The 20,413-nt window shown below is 45.1% G+C and overlaps 1 protein-coding gene across 17 annotated transcripts in view, besides 1 other annotated feature; it reads left to right on the forward strand.

The window, feature by feature from the left end:
• Positions 1 to 20,413, forward strand: part of TCF7L2 (transcription factor 7 like 2) — a 217,432-nt gene that overhangs the window by 184,736 nt on the left and 12,283 nt on the right. For 14 of the 17 annotated variants that reach the window (NM_001367943.1, NM_001363501.2, NM_001146274.2 and 11 more), the window contains 6 exons: positions 6,202 to 6,334; positions 8,941 to 9,043; positions 11,029 to 11,115; positions 16,016 to 16,141; positions 16,743 to 16,902; positions 17,351 to 17,458. In NM_001367943.1, coding sequence (NP_001354872.1) covers positions 6,202 to 6,334; positions 8,941 to 9,043; positions 11,029 to 11,115; positions 16,016 to 16,141; positions 16,743 to 16,902; positions 17,351 to 17,458 — 717 coding nt within the window. Of the gene's footprint in view, positions 1 to 6,201; positions 6,335 to 8,940; positions 9,044 to 11,028; positions 11,116 to 16,000; positions 16,142 to 16,742; positions 16,903 to 17,350; positions 17,459 to 20,413 lie in introns of all 17 variants that reach the window. The other 3 variants (NM_001198527.2, NM_001146284.2, NM_001198525.2) reach the window with 2 other exon arrangements.
• Positions 61 to 649: an enhancer, noted in NCBI's record as "OCT4-NANOG hESC enhancer chr10:114894802-114895390 (GRCh37/hg19 assembly coordinates)". NCBI's record gives its function as "activates a minimal SCP1, AML or CMV promoter by ChIP-STARR-seq in naive H9 embryonic stem cells {active_cell/tissue: H9 hESC(naive)}" and the evidence as "EXISTENCE:reporter gene assay evidence [ECO:0000049][PMID:30033119]".

A 20,413-nucleotide genomic window follows, 5' to 3' on the forward strand; every position in this document is an offset into this window, starting at 1 on the left:
GGGCCAGCAATGGCTCTATTTGTTTTCAGTGTCTGTTGATTAATAGGTTGCGGAGGTGAATGGCAAGCTTTCATTCCCTCTAGGTTGCCCACAGTTATAGAGCCTTGTGGGGTCGGGGTGAGAGGGGGACTAAGCAGAGGGATCTTAGAAGTGCCTTAATCAGTCTTTCACTTGCCAAGTTCCAAATGAGGAACAGCGTCTGGATGGGTGTGTGGGCGCTTGGCGATGAGGGTGGCATGGCCAAGTTGCAGAGCGCTATGCTTAAGGGTTCTTGAAAGGTCAAAGGTCAGCCACAGGGGCGCCTCCCCCTCCCCATTCCCCCCCACTGTAGTCGATGAATACGATGAATACTTTGGGTGGAAGGGCTTTGTGTGCCTTGAGGGCTGTTAAAGGACCTTTTCTTTATGATTTAACTATTCAATGCTCAAAACCCATGGAGCCTAAGGAACCAGACAGAGGAAAGCTTGGCTTTGCCAAAGAGCGTTTTCTCCAGGTAGAAAGCATAAAGCCCTGAATGATTTAAAGTCAGATGAGGATTTTGGTTCCTTTTAAATAGATATTGTTTACTTCATTTAATGGTTCGGCTTTTTAGTAGACTTTTTCTTTAGTTTCTTGTCAGCCCAGAACTGACGACATAAAGTGTTTTTATCATCTGAATCCTGCTGGGCCGAGATACTGCATGTTTGTATTTGAGAAGCAGAAACATCCTATTAAATGTCTTTACCCCTTCCATCCCCAGTCTTCCCATAATCAGCCAAATGTGTAAAAATCCCTGCTAAAAATATTCAATGCCCTGTGGCATTGTGGCTAAGGCAGGGAACACTGAGCTCCACCTAATTTGGGGTTTAGGGGCAATATTTGCTGAAAATGGTCTAGGATGCAGTGATTGGTAGGTGGGAGTTTGAGGACAGATCCCACCGAGAGTCCTGAAGCAGCTGTATCCAATAGGAAGGTTGGCCCAGGCTGATCTCATTGGGTGCATCTCCCTAGATGAACACAGCAATTAACCCCATCCCAGTAATGCCAGTTTCTGCAGACTGGGAGAGTGTAGAAGTGGGGTGGTGGAGGCAGGCAGGTGAGGCTGCAAAGCTTAGAAACACCACTCTCTCAAGGCATGTAACCTGGAAAAAAAATATCTTTACCTACCGCGTGGAACTGATAACAAATGCCGACTACTTCATAGGCTCGTTGTGAGGATTTCCTAGAATAAAGCATGTGATGCACTCAGCACAGAGGCACACAGACACAGAGCCCAAGGCACCATTAAACGGCGGCCACCCTGAGCTGTGCTGGTGTGGATGGTAGTGCTTCAGGGGTAGCAGCTGGTCAGTCCCCATCCTACCTTCATTTCGTCTAGAAAAGGTGTTCTAAGCTGATGGTGGTGGTGTGACTTCGGCAGCTGTGGTATAACCGTCTCGAAATTATGTGAGTTATTCATATATGAGTGTTTGCTGTTTTTGTGGCTCGGAGAATCCGTTGTCATCATGTTTTCAGAGTTCAGTACAGCAACGCAGGCTCTTCACACAGCTCTCCTTGACCATCACTACCATGAACTTGAACATTGGTTCGCTGTCACTGGCTGTAATGATTTTGTATCCCCATGTAGTTTTGAAGATGTATTTAGGTGAAATAGTTCCCGAAAGGAACCTGGCCTTACGTTGAGCTGTTTCCCTTGCACATTGGGCTCTGTTTATAAAGAGATAAAAGGGGGAGGGAATAAGTACTGCAGGCTAATGAGCCCACCAGCACTCCAACTACCCCATGGATAGTTGCTGCTAATTTAGTTGCCATGAATACATTTCTGGAAGGTTGTCTATGTTGCAACCAAGTTACTTTTCATATCTAAATTTTCTTAGGGTGGTGCAGTTTTGAACACAATTCTTAAAGACCTCGTTAGAGAAGTGGGAGGTGTTCAAAGAGAAGGAGAACCATCCAAGGGGCATCTTTCTGTTTGGATTCTTTTGTGTTTCATTTATGACAGCTCTTACTTAAAGGCCCTTGCCCTGATCTGGAAGGGACCATGATCATCTCCACCTGCCTTTTTTTTTTTCTTTAACTTTCAGCTCCTCTGTGGCAATCTCATTTATTGGCATAGTAAAGTGATGACTTTTCTCACAAGAGATATTAAAATATATGGATTAATTAAATACCGCATTTTGAAGAAGGGTATGTGCCTGAGGAGAGTGCCACTAATCATCTAGAATGATCTTGCCCCATAAACAAACATCCTTACCTTTGAAATCAGGAGTGGAATCATGGCTGTGTATCCCCCCTGCTCCGTGAATTAAATCAGAAGAGGCTAGAGGGATAGTGAACTGTGTCATCATTAGTATTTATCAGATTGCATTTTCAAAGCATCTTTGTATTGCACGTTTAGCTTGTGCCTGTCACTGTGCTAAATACTTTACGTGCAAGTTCTCATTCAGTTTTCACAACTCTGCGAGGTAGACACGATTCTCATCCAGAGTTGACAGAGACAGAAAGGAAGTCTTGAGGGAGGTCGAACAGCCAACCTGGTGAGGAAGAATGAAAACTCGGGTCTTCCTTGAATTCAGTTCTTGAATCACTGTGTGCAATGCCAGTTGCCCCTAAAACCCTTTTAAAGGCACAGTTGTAATTGAGATAGTGTCTGCAAGGGTATTGAACTGGATGGTCCAGAAGGACCACTAAGCTCTGTTCTGTGATTCTAAGGAGACTACATTTAAAGAGCGCCAACATTTACTTGAAGTTAATCTGTGATTGGCTTTGTCTTTCCCTTTGAATGCTTGCAGTTGCAATTTGGTGGTTCTTCTGCAGTTTAGGAGAATGTGCTCTCCATTCCGCAGACTGGGCACTTGGGAGGACATAAAGTTCTAGAAGACATAGTCCTTGTCCCTAAGGGACTTAGGTATAGTGGGACCAAGAAGGGTGCACACACACCCCCAGCAATGGGCATCGTGTGATGTAGGAAGAAAGGGTTCTGGGGTCTGAGGCCGGAGAGACATAGGCATTTGTAAGAAGAAAATCCCTCCATCATAGAGGATTCCAGGTAGAGGCAGGTTGGCTGGAGTGGCAATTAGTCCCTGGTTTTGGCAGGTATGACCACAGAGTTCTCCTCTCTTGCAAGGGAACCCATGAGCTTGGACAGAGAGGAAGTTCTGTTCTTTCACAGGGACCTGCCTGGCATGCAGTTGAGGTCAGAGGGAGTAAGGCTAGTCCTAGTACAGGTCCCATTTTTTCCCCCTAAAGCCAGGCAGTACCTAAAACTTCCAGTTCCCTGCCACCCCCTCCACCCCACCCCCACCCCCATGGTATAGTTTTGACTGAACAGGAAAAAACTAGTTGGCTAGGCTCAGGTGTGCAAAATAATACTGGGAGAGGTGTTAGTAGCCAGAACACAGGGCTCCACCTTTTGTTGGAATCGCCTTCATATGTATATCTAAGAAGATGGAGACTTAATTTTTAAATCTCACACTCAGTTAACTCCATTATTGCCCAAACGCTATCTTCCTCTTTTGTTGTAAAGTAGAGAAAGAGGGTTTTCCCCACATCTCCCCTTAGTCCTGCTTAGAAGATGGCTGTGGGATTTGTGCTTCTTTACTGTAGACAGATCATGTCATCTGGACAGCTTCTTCCTAACAATAAAAATAATATTAATAATAAACCACTGTAATAGATAATAAATAACAAACTTATCATGTGCTAGGTTCTGTGCTAAGCCTTTTCCTGGGTTCCTTAAGAACTAGGATTTGATTCATGATCAGAACCCATGGCTCTTTGCCTCTGTGCTTGCCTGTGTGCGTGTGGTCCTCATGGCGGAACACAAGAACCACCCACAACACCCAGCAAGCAGGCCCAGGATGCTTGGGTCCTGAGCCCAGACCCACTGTGAATGAATTAGGGCCTACTGAGAGATTTCCTAGGATTGGGGAATCTGAATGAGTGAAAAGCATCCCGGGAGATGCTTGACTAGGGGCTGACTGCTGCTGGTTCTGATGCCCACCACTAGCCCTTTCTCTTCCCATGTGATCCTTCTCCTGGCTGATGGTGGTCCTGCTCCCGTGGCACTTGATCAGTCCTTCCACCCCTTAGTAATCATCTTCCCTTCTCTGGGCTATGGGTGGTTCTCCCCACTGGCCCTGGTGTTTTTCCACACTCACTTTAAACTGTCTGGAGCTGGTCTGCTTTCTTTCATGTCAGCGGGTATGTATCTTTCCAACCAAAGAGAAAACTTCTGGAAGGCAGCAACAGTCATTTGCCCTGCCTCCTAACAGTCTCCACTTTGTCCGTGTCTGTCTCTTTCCCTCCCTTCCTCTCCTTTTCCCTTTTCCTTCTCCACCTCAGCACACAGTGGGAGCTTCCTTGTTCCTTATTTCTCAAGTTGTCCTGAGCAAATCTTCCTCTTAAGGAATCCTTAGTGCCTGTCCTTGAGGTGCCCAGCACTGGCTGTGGGCAGCAGCCCTTCACCCTGGCCATGGCCTGCCCCGCCCTTCATGGCTGCCCCTTTTATGGAAGTGTTGCTGGTTTCCAAAGCTCCATCTGCTTTGGTGGCTTTTAGCTTACTTGCTTTGATGCAAAATTGGTAGCACATAACACAAAGCTCCTGTAAGCAACCTGCTAGCCCCTTTCTCCAAGAGTCCAGTTATACATAGGAATTGGTAAACCAGGCTGTTGGAAACGTTGACTTCTTTTTCTGTAGTTTTTTTCTGGGGCATCTAGAGAGAATGCCTTATTTTTCTTTCCACACATAACCACAAAAAAGTTAAAAGCACTTTTTAAAAGACACTTTCCCCTCAATTACCTGTGGTAAGAAATGCTGTTCTTATATTACATTCCTTCCTCACCCATTTAAAAAAAAAAAAAAAAAAAGGACAAGAAGAGAAATAGTAAAGAGAACTAACTGCTTAGTGATCCCTCAGCTCAACAGGCACTAGTGGGCAGCACTAGGACCTTCCTTCTTTTCTTTTAATGCAATTCCTTTTCCTTGATGTTAATGCAAGTTGTGCCTTCCTAAAAGTAATAAAAGGAAATGAAGACACGTTCTGAAATGAAACTTGACTCTAATCCATTCATCATCTAATACTTGCCTCTTTATCTTCGCTGGTACCTAATCTGGTTAAATGTCCCTGTTGTAGGATTTTAGCGAAAATCCTCTATGGGGAATAGGGTTTTTTGCAATTGGATTACTCTCAGTAAATGGCCCAGTAGTTCGCTTGTTTCAGCTTAATTTTTTCTTTGTGATCTTCCTGGGCTAAGTTATAGCACAGAGTAGTGGAGTGGGGAGGGGTGGACTGAGCGGGAGGTGGGGGAAAGAGGAGGAGAATAATTTGGGAAAGCCTGGGCATGGCAACTAGAAACATTTTTAAAATGCTTTTCTTCCCCCCACCCTGCCCTCTGCTTCTCTCCACTGACCCACCCTTCCCAAACACAAAAATGCCTGTACTTTGTTTTTTAGAACTGCCCATTTCTAAAATGCATACCTTTTATTAGCCCAATTCGTCATCATCCAGTTAATGTATTAGCGTTCCCGGATGACTTTCTAATGAAATTCCTAATGAATCAGGGCTGCTGTAATCTGCATAAAATATGCAGGTGCTTGTCAGGCAGTTTAGAGCTTTCTGGTAAAGTTCACACTCCCACCCAAACCGTGAGTGGGGTTTTGCATCCATGCTGTCTGTGAAGGATTGTAGCATGCCCGCTGTTTCTAAGGGCAGGGAGGGGATAGGAGCTGTCGGGGGGTGGCTAAGGAGGCTGGCTGGGTGGGATTTGGGCCCTGCCAGTTTCTTGTAAGTGGTGGTTTTCCTAGATGGTCCCCTGTGCAGCCTGCGTGCCTCCTGGAGGTGGGGCCTTGGGGTAGGAGGTCCCCACAACATGTGGAAACGCAGTAGGCATGGGAGATTGAAGTCTCCACTTCTGACTCACCTGCTAATGGGAAAAGTGCAGACTCTTGGGCTCCATAATGGGGTAGGGGTTGAGAAGGTATTTTAAAAGCCAGGCTTAGTGGGGAAATAAAAACTAAAGCAGACCCACCCAGAGAGCTGTCTTACAACTATCTATTATTTTCACATGGACTGGGGGGAGTATGGGATGGGCAGAGTTGAGTGCATCTTAGAAAATCCAGGTGAGAGGCTGTGGCCAAGGGAACCCACGGGCCCGGTGCTCTGAAGCCCTGGGCTGCTGGAACCGGCTTGACGGTGTCTTTCTCTGTTCTCCTCCCCACAGTCTAACAAAGTGCCAGTGGTGCAGCACCCTCACCATGTCCACCCCCTCACGCCTCTTATCACGTACAGCAATGAACACTTCACGCCGGGAAACCCACCTCCACACTTACCAGCCGACGTAGACCCCAAAACAGGTAGGCTGTGGGCTACGGAGCCAAGGTAGAGTGCTGGTCCTGGGGTTCTGGGGGAACCTTTGAGGCCTCCACAGGAACCCCAGGGGTGGAGCAGTAGGGGACTTTGGGGGAACGGTGGTGGGGGGGCCCCTGTTGCTTTTCTGGGTGTTGAAAAGGAAGCTCTTTGGGGTGGTTGAGGCCTGGTGTGGCAGTGGTTTTCCACTCCCTTTGGAGAAGTTCATTTGCAGTGTTAAAGATCTCTTTATGGCTTCCAGTACCCCTGAAGGGGCTGTCTTGGGAACCTGGCTATGAGTCCTCAGTATGTTTCAGGAGTGGCTTTTAACTCTAAGAGCCTCAGGCAGACATGGATGCAGGAATCATATTGAAGGCATTTCTTGGGTTCCTCCTCAGCTTCCTGGGAAGATGAGACAGCATGGCTTTCCAAGCCTCGGCTCCCTCACTGGCTAAGAGGCTCCAGTCACTACTTGACAATGACTTGTTGGTATAGCCTCAAAAAGCCACATCACTGGATTCTGCATTTTCTTTGCTAATTTATTTAGGTTCTTTTTCCCCTACAATATTCTAGGTATTGTTGAACCCATTTTACAGATATGAATACTGAAGTCCAGGCAGGTTGCTTCATTTCTTCGTAGAACAACCAATGGGTGTCTGAGAAAAGTTGCCATGCTTTTCAACGTCTTTTTGTTGTTGTTGTTGTTGTTGTTTTTAAACAGAGTCTTGCTCTGTCATCCAGGCTGGAGTGCCGTGGCACAATTTTGGCTCCCTGCAACCTCTGCCTCCCAGTTTTAAACAATTCTCCTGCCTGAGCCTCCCAAGTAGCTGGGACTACAGGCATGTGCCACCATACCCGGCTAATTTTTGTATTTTTAGGAGAGACAGGTTTTCACCATGCTGGCCAGGCTGGTCTCGAACTCCTGACCACCTCGGCCTCCCAAAGTGCTGGGATTACAGGCATGAGCCACCACACCCAGCCCAGCATCCCCTTTTTATCCCAGTTGTTCATTGACTGCTTTTTTCCCAAAGGGGAGAGGGAGGGAAGGTGGGGTTACTTGTAGCTCTCCTCCAACAAGATCTAAATCAGGCAGGCAGCCCCAGCAGCCTGGTGGGGTGGTCTTGGGAGAACAGGTAAGGTTAGTGTGTGTCTTTCAGGCTACCCAGTGTGTTGGTAGGATTTCCCCTTCCTAGCTCAGTAATTGGAAGGATGGGTTTAAAGTGGTGATTGCACATCACTTTGTTAGAGGGGATTGGTAGTGTTGGGGTAGGTAGGCTGCCTGGTTAGGCGGCCTTCACTGCCCCTGAACGAAGCCACACATGAGCTGGGTTTTACTGGTCTCTGAGCCCCTTTGTGCTGGTGCAGGACTGAGCCTGGCGCTTGGATGCCTGGTGGCCTCCTCCAGCCGGCCCCAGGCTCCACCAGTGAATGGCAGCGTCAACGTCTCATTTAAATAATGGTAGTACAGGGAATAGCTTTTAAATGGTTATCGTAAAACATATGATTAACGTCTGTGGACTGTTTACTTTTCCTCTGCGAACATTCTTTCAAGTGTGCAAATGGCTCGATGTAGGGTCCAAGCCCAGCTAATCTGTTTGGTTTTTGTAATAGAGAGAAAGCAATGTCTGCATGAAAATGTCACCCAGGGAGACTTAATTTACAGATTAAAAGCTTCCTGAATGAATTTTTTAAAAAATGAAGTCGTTTTCGTCCACGAACATGCAGCCCGTTCCCTCCATTACTCTGTTTTAATTCTGTGGTATTGTGCCTTTTGCCTCCCACTTCAATGGCATACATCAATTCCTCTCTGTCAGAGTGGACTACAGGATGTGCTCCTGTGGAACTGGCAGATGTGCGGTGGCACGTACTTGCAGAATCCGCTCATGTGTGCCTTGTGAAGCTCTTAGCCCCTGCGACGCACGCGGTGCCCATTCAGCAGGTGGGCTTAATCCCCACAGACGACTCTGTCCTCTAGCGGATGAAGTTCCAGAATGGAGTACACAAGCCTCCAACACCTCCTTGTCTGTTCAGCTCTGACTCTGCCTTAGATAAGATGCCAGATGGCATTTGATCAGTTTCTCCAGCTCATCCAAATAGAGGCAGAGACATTTTAGAGGAGTCACCATTTTTGAAAAAAGGCAAGGGTAGTAACTTTTCAAATGCCACAGCTCAAAAAGTGTGTTAGAAATCAGAGGAGTAGCTCTTGTGCAGGTAAGGCATGAAACTCCGCAGGGTGAAGGGCCAGAGTTGTAAGAGCAACAGGGATTACCATTGCTTCATTCTCCACCAGGTGCTGAGCCTTTTTGATGTTGTTTCTTTTAAACTTGAAACAATCACACCAGTCACATGAGGCACAAATACCCAAGATGGCATATCTTGAGTCTACTCAGTATACCAGTCCATTTAGAAGGAGATAAACTAATTTTTCAAACTGAGGCTGAGGGAAAATGAGATGAAACCTACCAACAACTCAGGATTTATAATCATGAATGAACCTTGTGCTAGGATTCCAGAAGAGATGCGTCTCTTCCTCCTTTCCCTGTTCCCATCCCCTAATGGATTGCTCTTTCCTTCTCTCCCTCCTTTGTACCTAAAATGCTGCTTCTTCCCTCAGGAATCCCACGGCCTCCGCACCCTCCAGATATATCCCCGTATTACCCACTATCGCCTGGCACCGTAGGACAAATCCCCCATCCGCTAGGATGGTTAGTACCACAGTAAGGAGTTCCATTTTTTAATTTCCTTTTTGTTTCTTACATGGGCATGTTTATTATTTATTCTGTGTGTGTGTCTGTGTGTGTGTGTGTGTGTGTGTGTGTGTGTGTGTGTATGTGTGTGTGTTAGAAGCCAGGGTTGGGGAGGGGGCTGCGGGAGGGCACAGAAAAGGTGTTGCTGAGGTGTCCTGTGGGAATACAGGCAAATCCACAGCCATTCAGGTGGCTTATGTTACTGGCACTTAGCATTCCGCGACCATGGTCCCCAGAGGCTCTGTGGACAGAGGTGCCCTGCAGTTCCTTTGGGAATTGCAGAAGACTACTGGAACTTCCACCCAATGAAGCTGGTCATGACCCTTCTGCTGTTGGCTGCCCAAACTGCAGTCATGTCATTGGGTTGAGGCTGTCGAGTCCTCCATTTTAGGTGTTACATATTTTGGGGCACAGAAGCAGGAACAAGAACGGCCTTGTTTTGAAATCCAGGGTTGGGATTAGGGCATGTTCTTGTATGATTCCAGGACCCCCCACCTCATCCTGAACATTACTCCCAAGGTTGACAACAACAGTGGAAAGTTTTGTCTGTTGAGAAGCTCCATGGGACTGAATCAGCATCTCTCTGAGAGTCTTTGCACGTTGAATGTTTTACCTAACTGTGAACGGTGGGAATGGGGCATTTGGAACCGTCACTGCAGCATGTGGGGCCTTCGTAAGCATCAATCCTAGCTCCTGGCAGTGCCCAGATTATTTGACTAACTTTTGCAACTTAAAAAAACTGTGTTTTAAATTCAGAGTAGAAAGGCCTTTGATGCATTAGCATACTGTGGCAGGTTGTGTGTATGTATATTTTTGCATGAGCATGTGTGTAATATGTGTTTCGTGATTGTTTCTGTGGATGTATTTCTCCTTACCAGTGATCTGTACTCTGAACAACACAGGACAATACATTGAATGCTAAAAGGAATAAATCCTGGTAAAACTCAGGTTTGAGTCTTAGGGAAGATGGCCTTTCAAAGCCTTAAGGAAGATAAAATTTTGGAGTGGCTTACCCCACAATTCTACCCGTATTTCTCTAGTTAGATAGATTCTATGCTGTTTTTTTTTTTTTTAATAAAAAACAGATTGCATTATGTAGTAGCTGTACCAAATACCAACCCTGGGTATAGTTTCTGTTTCTCTGTCTCTTCTTATTTTTATTGGGACGGTAGACATGAACATGAGCTTGTGACCCATTTCTTCTAAATAGATGGGGCCAACCCTCGAATAGTTCTCAGTGATCATTTGCCCCATTCGGCTGATGGGGAGATATTTGAAGGCTAGATAAAAAGGAATAGCCAACTCAGACAACCCTCTGTCAGAAAAAGTTGTGTGTCTTTCATGAGGATGCTATTTTGCATGTTGCTGTATTTTTTAATTATTGTAATGAGGTGTGATTGTCTATTGGTTACCCACAATTCTTCTTGGGGACTCTCCCCCCGGTAACTCTTGTCAACACTTGTTAATTTGACAAAAGGCTACAAATTAAGCTCTGTTAATTTAATGTTTTCTCACCGAGATCTAAATACCGAAAGAGGCCCAAAGCGCAACTGAAGTCCTTTGATTCACTGTACTTTATTTTGGTATAAATTTACATTCATTATTGTTTTCCTTTGGATGTGTAGCCCTCAATTAGTGTGATGGCTCCATTAAAGCAAGCGAGACTTCGCCTTTAATTATTACAACAAAACACCTAGTTTCAGCTTGGGGAGAGGGTCTCTATTGACATAAGCAGAGGTTATAAAATTTAATTAGCCATTCCTATCAGATTTATGGCATTCAAATTGTTCTGTGTTTCTTCCCTTTGATCCTTCCTGTACAATCCCCAAGATTTTTGTTCTGATCAAATGAGAATAAAGCTTACTGTGCAGAGAGAACTTTTCCCTTTTCTTCTTTTTCTTGTCCCCACCCCCACCCTTGTTTCAAGTCTCTTACTTTGTACCCCTTCTTTGTAGGCAAGGTCAACCAGTGTACCCAATCACGACAGGAGGATTCAGACACCCCTACCCCACAGCTCTGACCGTCAATGCTTCCATGTCCAGGTGAGTTCCAAGAACCGGGGCCTTCATCCAAGGCCATGTGTGACTTCTCAAGAAGTTCTCTAGATGGCCACCAAGCCACCCAGGGACCACAGCTACATGTAGTTCTATTAGTGTAAAGCCAATGTGGCATTAGGCTGTACTCCCAGAAAATCCTGAAAAATTGCCCTGAAATTCCAAGGTAAATGATGTCTTTCTGGGTAAAATTTTTGAGTCACTCAGTTGAACAATGTATTTTAATGAATTAAGAAGGTAAGGGAGAAACAGGACAGAAGCTTTTAAAAATGCCATTTCTCTGTTGTCCTGTCCTCAGCAAGAAAGGTAGCGGTGAAGGTAGTTTTATTATTATACCAAGAAGAGTTCGAAAAAAGATTACTGGTGTTCTCAAAGCTCAGACTCTGATTGCAAGTCAACAAGAAAGCATCCGCCTCCTCCCCTCGAAGGTAGCACTGTCCAATAGAAATATAGTGTGAGCCACAGAGGGAATTTTAAATTTCGTAGTAGCCGTGTTTTTAAAAAAGTTTTTGTTTTTTTTTTTTTAAAAAAAAGATAAAGTTATTTTTAATGACATGTTTTTATTCAATGCAATATAGCCAAAATATTATCATTTTAACATGCTATTCCTGGACAACAACTATTAATAAGATGTTATGTTCTTTTTTGTGCTGAGCTTTGGTACAAAATCTGATGTGTATCTTATACGCACAGCACTTCTCAGTTTAGACTGGCCACATTTCAAATATTCAATAGCCACACGTGGCTGGTGCATATCATAGTGGTCTGTGCAGCTCTAAGTCTTTGAAAGTTAAAAAAAAACATGTGTGTGTGTGCTGTACATTCATATATATTTATATTTCAGCGTAGAAACATATTTACAAGATACATTCCTATCCCCATGTTCTTCTTTTCCTCCCTCTGATTAATTCTGGCTAATTTTTCAGTGACTGCTAGTTTATTTACAAACTGGTTGGCAGCAGTATGTTTTAGTCGCTAATTGTTTCTAATGATAGTTTTATTTTCTGTTCATCTGATTTTCAGTCAAGTTAATTAAATCGGTGGAGGTTTAGACTTTGCTGATGGTCTGAAATCACCAACCCATTCTGATGATGGCACATAATGAAATTAGCATGCGTTACATGGCAGGGGTGCTGTCCCCAGCTTCTTTCCCCAGTCCCTGTGGCCAACATGGGAAGCCAAGACCAGAGAAGGGCCTGGAAAGACAGGTCAAGATGCTGCTTTTCCTACTTACAAAACAGTAACTTTAGCAGTGATAGAGAGTTACATTCATTAAGAAAAACAAACCGTGGCATATCTAGCATCGGTAACTATGCCGTGGATATCATAGTTGAAGAGATCCATTTTCTACCTGCGATATATCATCAAAATTTCAAAATCCATGCCAGTATTAGTTAGGTAGGAAAACGCTCGTGTGTTCTCTGGCCTAGAGAGAAGAGGAGGCGTAACACTTATTAAATAGTGTCATCACAGCCTCGCAAAGCATGGGAATGAGTAGGGGGTCTCCCAGGTGGAGAGCACCCAGGGACCACGGCTACATGTCATTCTATTAGTGTAGCAGCTTATACTCCACAGCTCATCTTCCCACCTTCCCAGCATTTGTATATTACACCTGGTTATTTTTCATGTTTGTTTATTTGGTGCGTTCTGGAGGTTAACAGTGGTAAAGTAATTGTAGGATAGGGATTGGGGTTAAGCTGATCGATTGAATTATCATTAGGAGGTTAGTCGATGAATTATAGGTGGGCATGGGGGTGGAGGAAAGGCAGGGAACGTCAGGAAGAAAGGTTAGGGCCTCAAGGTGCGGGGAGAGGCGGCCGACTCCCCAGGTAGGCCAAATGAAAGATAGCTAGTTAAAAAGCATATACAGCAAATTAAATACATTATTGTGATAATGGGGCGACAGAAGTATAGGTCTATTATACTTATGGCAGTTATAGCAAATGTAGGCAGCTTGCCCTGTTCCAGAACACCCTTTGATATTCATTCTATTCAGCAGTGGGGCCAGGACTTCTCAGAATTAAGTGATGGGTCATTATACTTTAAACACCATGGAGAAGCCTAGATTGGCAATTAAACAGCTCTTGCTGACACTCACTTGTGCCACCCTGTGACCCCCTTTAGATTGAGATGTTGGAGCTCCGGGCCCTCAGCCTGCTAAATTGGTGCAAGGCTCTTCTCCTGACGAGAGCCGGCTCTGAAATCTGCCGGCTTCAAAGGGAGCGAGATCATGTATAAACCATAATGTGGGTGCACCGTGGCTCACAAAAAATAAGGCAGGAAGAGATGAAATGTTACAAGTGCAAGGGGGAAAATGAGAGAATAATGACAAACCTAATGCAACTCAAAGCAGGATTGTTGCACAGGAAAATGCATCCTACTGCTTGTGCATAAAATCAAGGCCGGCAGATGACATCCGGTTAACAGAAACGTGTCAACAGTGAAGTAAAGTGAGAGTGAGTAAGAGAGAAGCCCCTGAGACAGCCAGAAACAAAAATTAGTTGTTCTTAACAAGTTAAGGTTCATCATTATATTCTGGCTTGGAGCCATGAAAGCAGACGGGGGTATATAATGAGCTGCTTAGAATTTTTAGGGTGTTTATTGCATTTCATGAAATAGTAGTCTGCAGAAAGGAATTTCTTAAGCGAAGGTATGTGTATACAGCCCACATCCATGTTCACACATGGTCTCTTTCTTTGCTGAACATTTTTCAGATATGGGAATATACGCGTAGGTATGGGAACTTAGAAATGTGCCTTCTTCATGGCTGCATTAGAAGTTTGTCTGCACCCCAAAATGTACTCAGATTGTGGTGCCTTCCCGTGGTATTTGGTGTATGTACACACACGTACACACACACACTCACACATGCAGTGTTTTTCTCTCTCCCCCTCCCTCTCCCTCTCACGTCTGTACACATATTCTCATTCTGCAGGAAGGGAACATATGTATTTGAGGAATGTCAGGCCTTCAAAATTCACAGTAAAAGCTGCCACCCACCACTTCACCCAAGGGCTTCCAAGAACACATGTTCTTAACTTCTGTTTCCTCTGAGGCCTTCGAGCAGTGGGAAGGAACAGGGTGTCACTTGGAGCCCAAGTGTCTCCCAAGGGGTTTTGCTTTTTTTGTTTTTCACATTATTTTGAGAGGAAGGGGATGAAGATGAAGGTTGTTAGCATGTTTGTTTCCTTACATTTTCCTTCTCTCTCTCTTTTTTTGATACATTCGAAGGACTTGTATTGTTGTTATTTTTAAAATCATGTCATGCAGTCTTCACTACTGGCTTAAATTTGTAAAGGCAGTGGCAGGAAAGGCCACGTCAGCGTGGGATTTTTGAGTGAAATGTCTACTGTGGCTTGGGCCTTCTTCAAGAATCAGCATTAACTTTCCTTCCTCTGTTGATCTGTGTAGATTCAGTTAGTACTTTAATCATTTTATTATTTTTCAAATTAATGTTTGTTACCTTATTTTGGCTGAATGGAAACTATCTCTAGCCCGCTTCTGGAAAAAACTTTGTAAATACATACAGAATCATTTTGGAAGAATTGTCGTGATCGATCCTCATTAGGCCCTCTAGTTCCCACCAGAATTGGCTTTGTAAAGAGCAGATTGTTATTCCTTGGATGGTACATTGGACTGCTTTGGTTTGGACTTATTAAGAAAGCAACAGTTGCCATGATCTTCATCTGAACAGCTTCCCATCTGCTCACTTGAATCACCTTGCCAGGTTGGAGCAGGAGGCTGCCATATTGTTTACTTTTGGGATTCTGCCCTTTCTGTCCCTCACTATTTTTTCTATAGTAGGATATGTTGCTTGAAGAGGGGTGAGTCTTCCAACCCAGTACAAATCATGGTGACACCACGCAAAATTGAAAATGAGAAAGGTGTTTGATCCAGTTGTCAGTCTGCAGATGGGCCAAGAGTAGGTTGAGATTAGCTCTTTCTGTCCTGGCTAATGTACTTGGTTGGGAAATGCCAATTCAGGTCCTAAAATGTGCCTTAGAGAACTGTCCAAAAAATGAGCAGCATGAGAGGAGAAAACACAAACTGTATCTTTCATTTATAATTTTGATAATCATTTAGAAGACTTCTTAATGATGCCTAGACAACATATGAAGTAAAAGTGATATAGGAATCCTAAATTTTAGAGGAGAAAGGGCATACAAATCAGAATCAAAGGTTTATTGTGTGTGTGTGCACCTTTCCTTTCCTTTTTTTTTTTGCATCTTTCCATAAAGGGATAGAAACTTATTTAAAATGTCCATGACTTATGATATGAACCAAATAGGAACTATTTGAATTTTCCCTGTCTTCCTGCCTCACTCTCTCCCATTCCTGTCAAATGATGGGACACAGCACAAAAGAAAAATAAAAATTGTATTGCACTTCATCAACAGGATGAGGCCTAATGAGGCTTGCACAGCATTGTCAAAAATGTATGTATATTTCAACCACGTTAATATTTTATTTAGCTGTCAATATACAACAAAAGATTTCACCTTTCATTTTAGAGCTGATTAGGACTTAGGAAATTGTCTTCTTAGATGCCACTAATAATGCCTCAAAAAACAAGTGGACGTGCGATTTCTGGCAGGTAGTCCAAGCCCACTTTTCCGCCCAAGTACGTCAGTTGAATTTGTCTTTTGCTAAAGATGTTAAAAATCATAATGTCTTATGTCAGTAGCAATAATGAATTGGCTTTAATGACATTATGAGAATCATTATGTTTAATTTATCGCTAATTAATGCTGACAGGTTTCATATGCCTTGGGTTGCTTTCATGTGAGTGTTACGTGCTGTTTTTTTTTTTCTTTTTAATTGTGTGTACACATCCCTCCTCATTCATTCATTTTGATTCTGACGATTTACACAGCTTTCTGTCTTCTAGGTTCCCTCCCCATATGGTCCCACCACATCATACGCTACACACGACGGGCATTCCGCATCCGGCCATAGTCACACCAACAGTCAAACAGGAATCGTCCCAGAGTGATGTCGGCTCACTCCATAGTTCGTAAGTGTTGCTGTTTTTCTCACCTTCTTCGTAGCCGCAGTGTTCTGCAAGCCTGTTGCAGCTGCTGGGTGGTGGCTTTCTGCCTAAGGTTGGCCTCGTTTGGTTTGACTGCAGCCAATACCCAGCCTGTGTGGGCTCTTCACTCCCTTACAAAGAGAGAGAGAGTGCACAGTGGCAGAATCTCACTGTACCACCGTGGGTTAGAACAGAACTGTTTTTTGTGTGTGTACTTGGATACACTGGGATTTGCAACCACTTCCCTGCCCCCTAACCGCATCATTGAACATTTAGAGCTTTGTTCTGCAAGCAGGAGAAAACCCTGCCGAGGTGAAGACAGCAACCATGTGCTTTCCCCTCTGGCTTGGGAAAATTGTATATTTGTGAAACTTGAGGAAGTGATTGCAAAATCCCTCTCTTCCCCCAACCCCTCCCCAAGCTATTTTTGTTCCATTTTCCGGGGTGCAGAAGAACTAAAAGCATGCTTTTTAATCCAAAACTGCTAGGCTTGGGGGTTATGAGACAAGGAGATACGTTCCCTGCCATGGAGGAAGTTGGACCACGACCTTGTTTATTGGGTTGCGTCTGTTTTGTCTATCTCCAGAAAGCATCAGGACTCCAAAAAGGAAGAAGAAAAGAAGAAGCCCCACATAAAGAAACCTCTTAATGCATTCATGTTGTATATGAAGGAAATGAGAGCAAAGGTCGTAGCTGAGTGCACGTTGAAAGAAAGCGCGGCCATCAACCAGATCCTTGGGCGGAGGGTAGGTGACGCCCTTCTCAGGGAGAAGCGGGGGGCGGGTGGTGAGGGACCAGAGTGCAGCAGGTCAGGTGGCAGAATGTCTCTGTCCCCATTTCTTTGGAGAATTCTTGCCCTTCAGCCACATTCTGAATCCTTGAATGGCCTTCACTGAGTCAGGACTAGTTATTCTGCACTCAGCGTTCAGAACAGCCACAGCCATGCTCTTCCCCTACCCGAGCGAGTGAGCAAATGACAGAATGACATAGATAACAAATCAAGTTTTGTCTAAACATTCCTGTTAGTGCCAGGACCCAGCCGACGGTCAGTATGTACAGATTATACCATTTCTGGACGGACTCACCCAAAAAGGCAGCATTATTTATCCCCTGACCTTGGCGTAATGTGTGATGTTCTTTCATGCTTTTCTCTTTGTTCATGTCTTTCTCATCTGTACCCCACGTCCCCTCCAGTGGCATGCACTGTCCAGAGAAGAGCAAGCGAAATACTACGAGCTGGCCCGGAAGGAGCGACAGCTTCATATGCAACTGTACCCCGGCTGGTCCGCGCGGGATAACTATGTAGGTGGATCATTTTCGTTAGGATTGGAGTCTGTAGAGCTGTGTTGTGCGTCTATACGGACAAAGAGAACAGGACCTGCCACTTGACTAGGGTGGGCCTCAGGACCATCCAATCTGCCCGCTTTGGGGACTGGTAGCATCTTCCTGGATCGCTAAACTGCAGGGAGGGGCTTCCCGTGTGGATGGTTGGATCAGCTCACAGTCATTCTTCAGGGTGGAGAGAGGAGGCTGCAGTCCCAGTGTTCCAGCTCAGGACCAATGAGGTTGATTTGGTGCTTGTCTCCTTTCTAGAGGAGGCAAGGCTCTTAGGATACACCCAAAGGACCTTATGTTCCGGATTAGGTTCCGCAGGCTCCTCAGCAGTGATCAGTGGTGTGGCCTTCTAGGGAAGACCAGTGGGTAGGTGTGGAGGAACAGAATTTAATTCCTCCCAGGCCTTTCAGCAGGCCCTTTACCGTTAAGAAGGAAAAACAAAACTATTCCTTTGTGCCATGGTGCAGTAGAAGTTAGAAGCCTATTTCATCCTGAGAGGAGCATGATGGGAATATCCCTGAAAGCAGCCAGAGGAAGTCAGCCTTTGGCAGGATGCATGAACCGACTCTGGCCCCAGCAAGGGCAGGGAAAGTGTGCTATGCGGTGTGTGTGTTCCTGGGCTCTGTGTTGGCTACAGGATCTGCCTAGTCCTCTCTTGGGTTGTAGGAAACACCATGGGATGATTGTTTTTACTAATTGCAGTGGTTGTGACCCCACGATTCCTCTCCTCCCATGAGCACGCTGTCTTCCGGAGACTTCTGTCACTTCTCACCATTGCTGGTTATCCTCCATTTTGCCCAGTAACTCCGCTTTCCTCTCTCGAGGGATGAAATGCCTCTTGTTTTGCCTGATACTTTATTTCATGACATTTGGTTCCGTGAAGGGATTTCACCATCCACTCTTAGGGGAACACCAAAACTTGTCTTAAGGCCGGCACAGGCCTCTCATCCCCTTCCTGTCGATGTCTTGGAGCCATGGATGGTTACTTTTCCAGTTACTTTTGACTCTCCCACTGGCATCATCCGCGGTGAAGCAGCTTGACGTATAGGGGTCGAGGTCGTTAAATTATTACTGAATTGAGTGAAACATATCATGGCCTTTGAGGCTTCTGTGGCAGGGGCTGGGGACACACAGCTCTTAACTGCCTTGGCCTGGAAGTGTCATGGGTCACTTACTCCCATCACCCATTGGCCAGAGCTAGTCATGTGACCCAACCTAACTGCAGGAGATGCTGGGAAATGTGCAGTTACTGTGCACAAGTTATTACAGGGATTCAGAGTTAAGTCGGATATCTTTACTCCCTCAGAACTTAGCATCCGCCAGGAAATCGCAAACATCTGCCGGCCTATGTGATCCTGAGGAAGAGCTGCTTCTGCCTGCTCTGATGAGTAATTTCAGGCCTCCTTCCTCTTTCTTCTCATACTTTTAAACCCGTGCTTGCCATGTAGATGAGGGAACAGGGAGGTGCCCCTGGCCATCTTTCTCGAGGCCCTGCCCCCTTAGCTGGCAGCGCTAGACTGTGCTCCTCCTGGGAGTTGAATCAGGAAGGAGTGCTGGCACCTCTGGGATGGCGCGTGTGCTCTGCTGAGAGCCCTTGTCGCCGACAGATGGGCTTGCACGGGGTCTCCACTGCTTGGGACCTTTCTGTTTGTCCCCAGCATGTGTGCAGTGGGGAGGCCTTTCTTCTGGAGCTGAAAGGAAGAGGATGAGAAAGTGAATGCTCTCCCACAGGCTTGCTGTTCACCCCCACCTGACCCTGAGGTGGAGATTTCCAGTAGCAGGCAGGCTCCATAGCCTCCACGTACACAACCATATCATTTCAGGACAGCTGCTCTCCTGGTTTCGGGTCAGAAGTTCTTAGAGTTCATCTTGAGCTTCTACCTGCTACAGACCCAATTCTTTGAGTAATCTAGAATGATACCACAGAGCGGAATTCAGCTTCTCTATAGAGATCATATCCCCAATAGACATTTTGGGTCATAGTAGGGCCTTCATGTACAGCTGTGCAGGGCGTGCACTGCACAACTCTAGAGTATGTCATTTACACTGGGGTCTATGTGAATGGTGCCCCCTGGAGTTGTGCAGGGTGAAATCTCTACAAAGGTACAAGGCAGACTGTGATAGCTTCAAAAGAATACCGTGTTTGACTTGCCTGGGAGTCGTTTAGAGAAAGTATTGCTCGAGGCTTTTTGTGACATACTTTCTCGGTTTCAGAAGGGCTGTTAGGCACTCGAAATGACTTTAGCTCAGTTTTAAATTTGGAAGATGGTTTGGTATAATAAGGGAACTCCTGAGACGATTTGAGGTTTAGAGATCTGGATTTAGGGCTCTAGGAACTTTATCTCTTGTAAGAGGTACTTAGATTCCTATTACAATGGCTCATTACACATGGGTGTGAACACACACACTCACACTCACGCCTTCCTTTTATGCGCTAGGGAACACTGGGACTAAGAACCGCAGCACTGAAGCTTTTATGGATTTGAATGTGGTAGCAACTTAACTAGTATTTTTTTTTTTTTTTTTTAACTAACTTGACGTGGGAGTTTCCATATATTACTTTGGTCATTGTAAACTCCAAAAGCTTCTTCTGGAAAATATTTCCTGAGATCTTCTCATGGCTCTTTCACATTCCTGCTTTTCCAGCCAACTGGTAACGGAAGCCTTTATATCTTTACCTTAGGACAACAGAATTGAGTGAAACAGTCACGTTTGGATTGTCAGACTTGGTACCTTCTTTAGAGCCCAAGAGAAAACATCTTGAGTCCCATAGTAATATGTAACCCCTGGGATTATATTTGACATTATTTCCTTTTTAACCCTCTACACTGGGTAAAGGATAGAGGTCCCATGCCATTTGCTCACCTGAGTTTCTTTTCTTCTACCCATATCGTAGGCCCTTTCTTTCTTCTGTTACATTTA

The sequence above is a fragment of the Homo sapiens genome, chromosome 10 (assembly GCF_000001405.40).
Source record: "Homo sapiens chromosome 10, GRCh38.p14 Primary Assembly".
Lineage (NCBI taxonomy): Eukaryota > Metazoa > Chordata > Mammalia > Primates > Hominidae > Homo > Homo sapiens.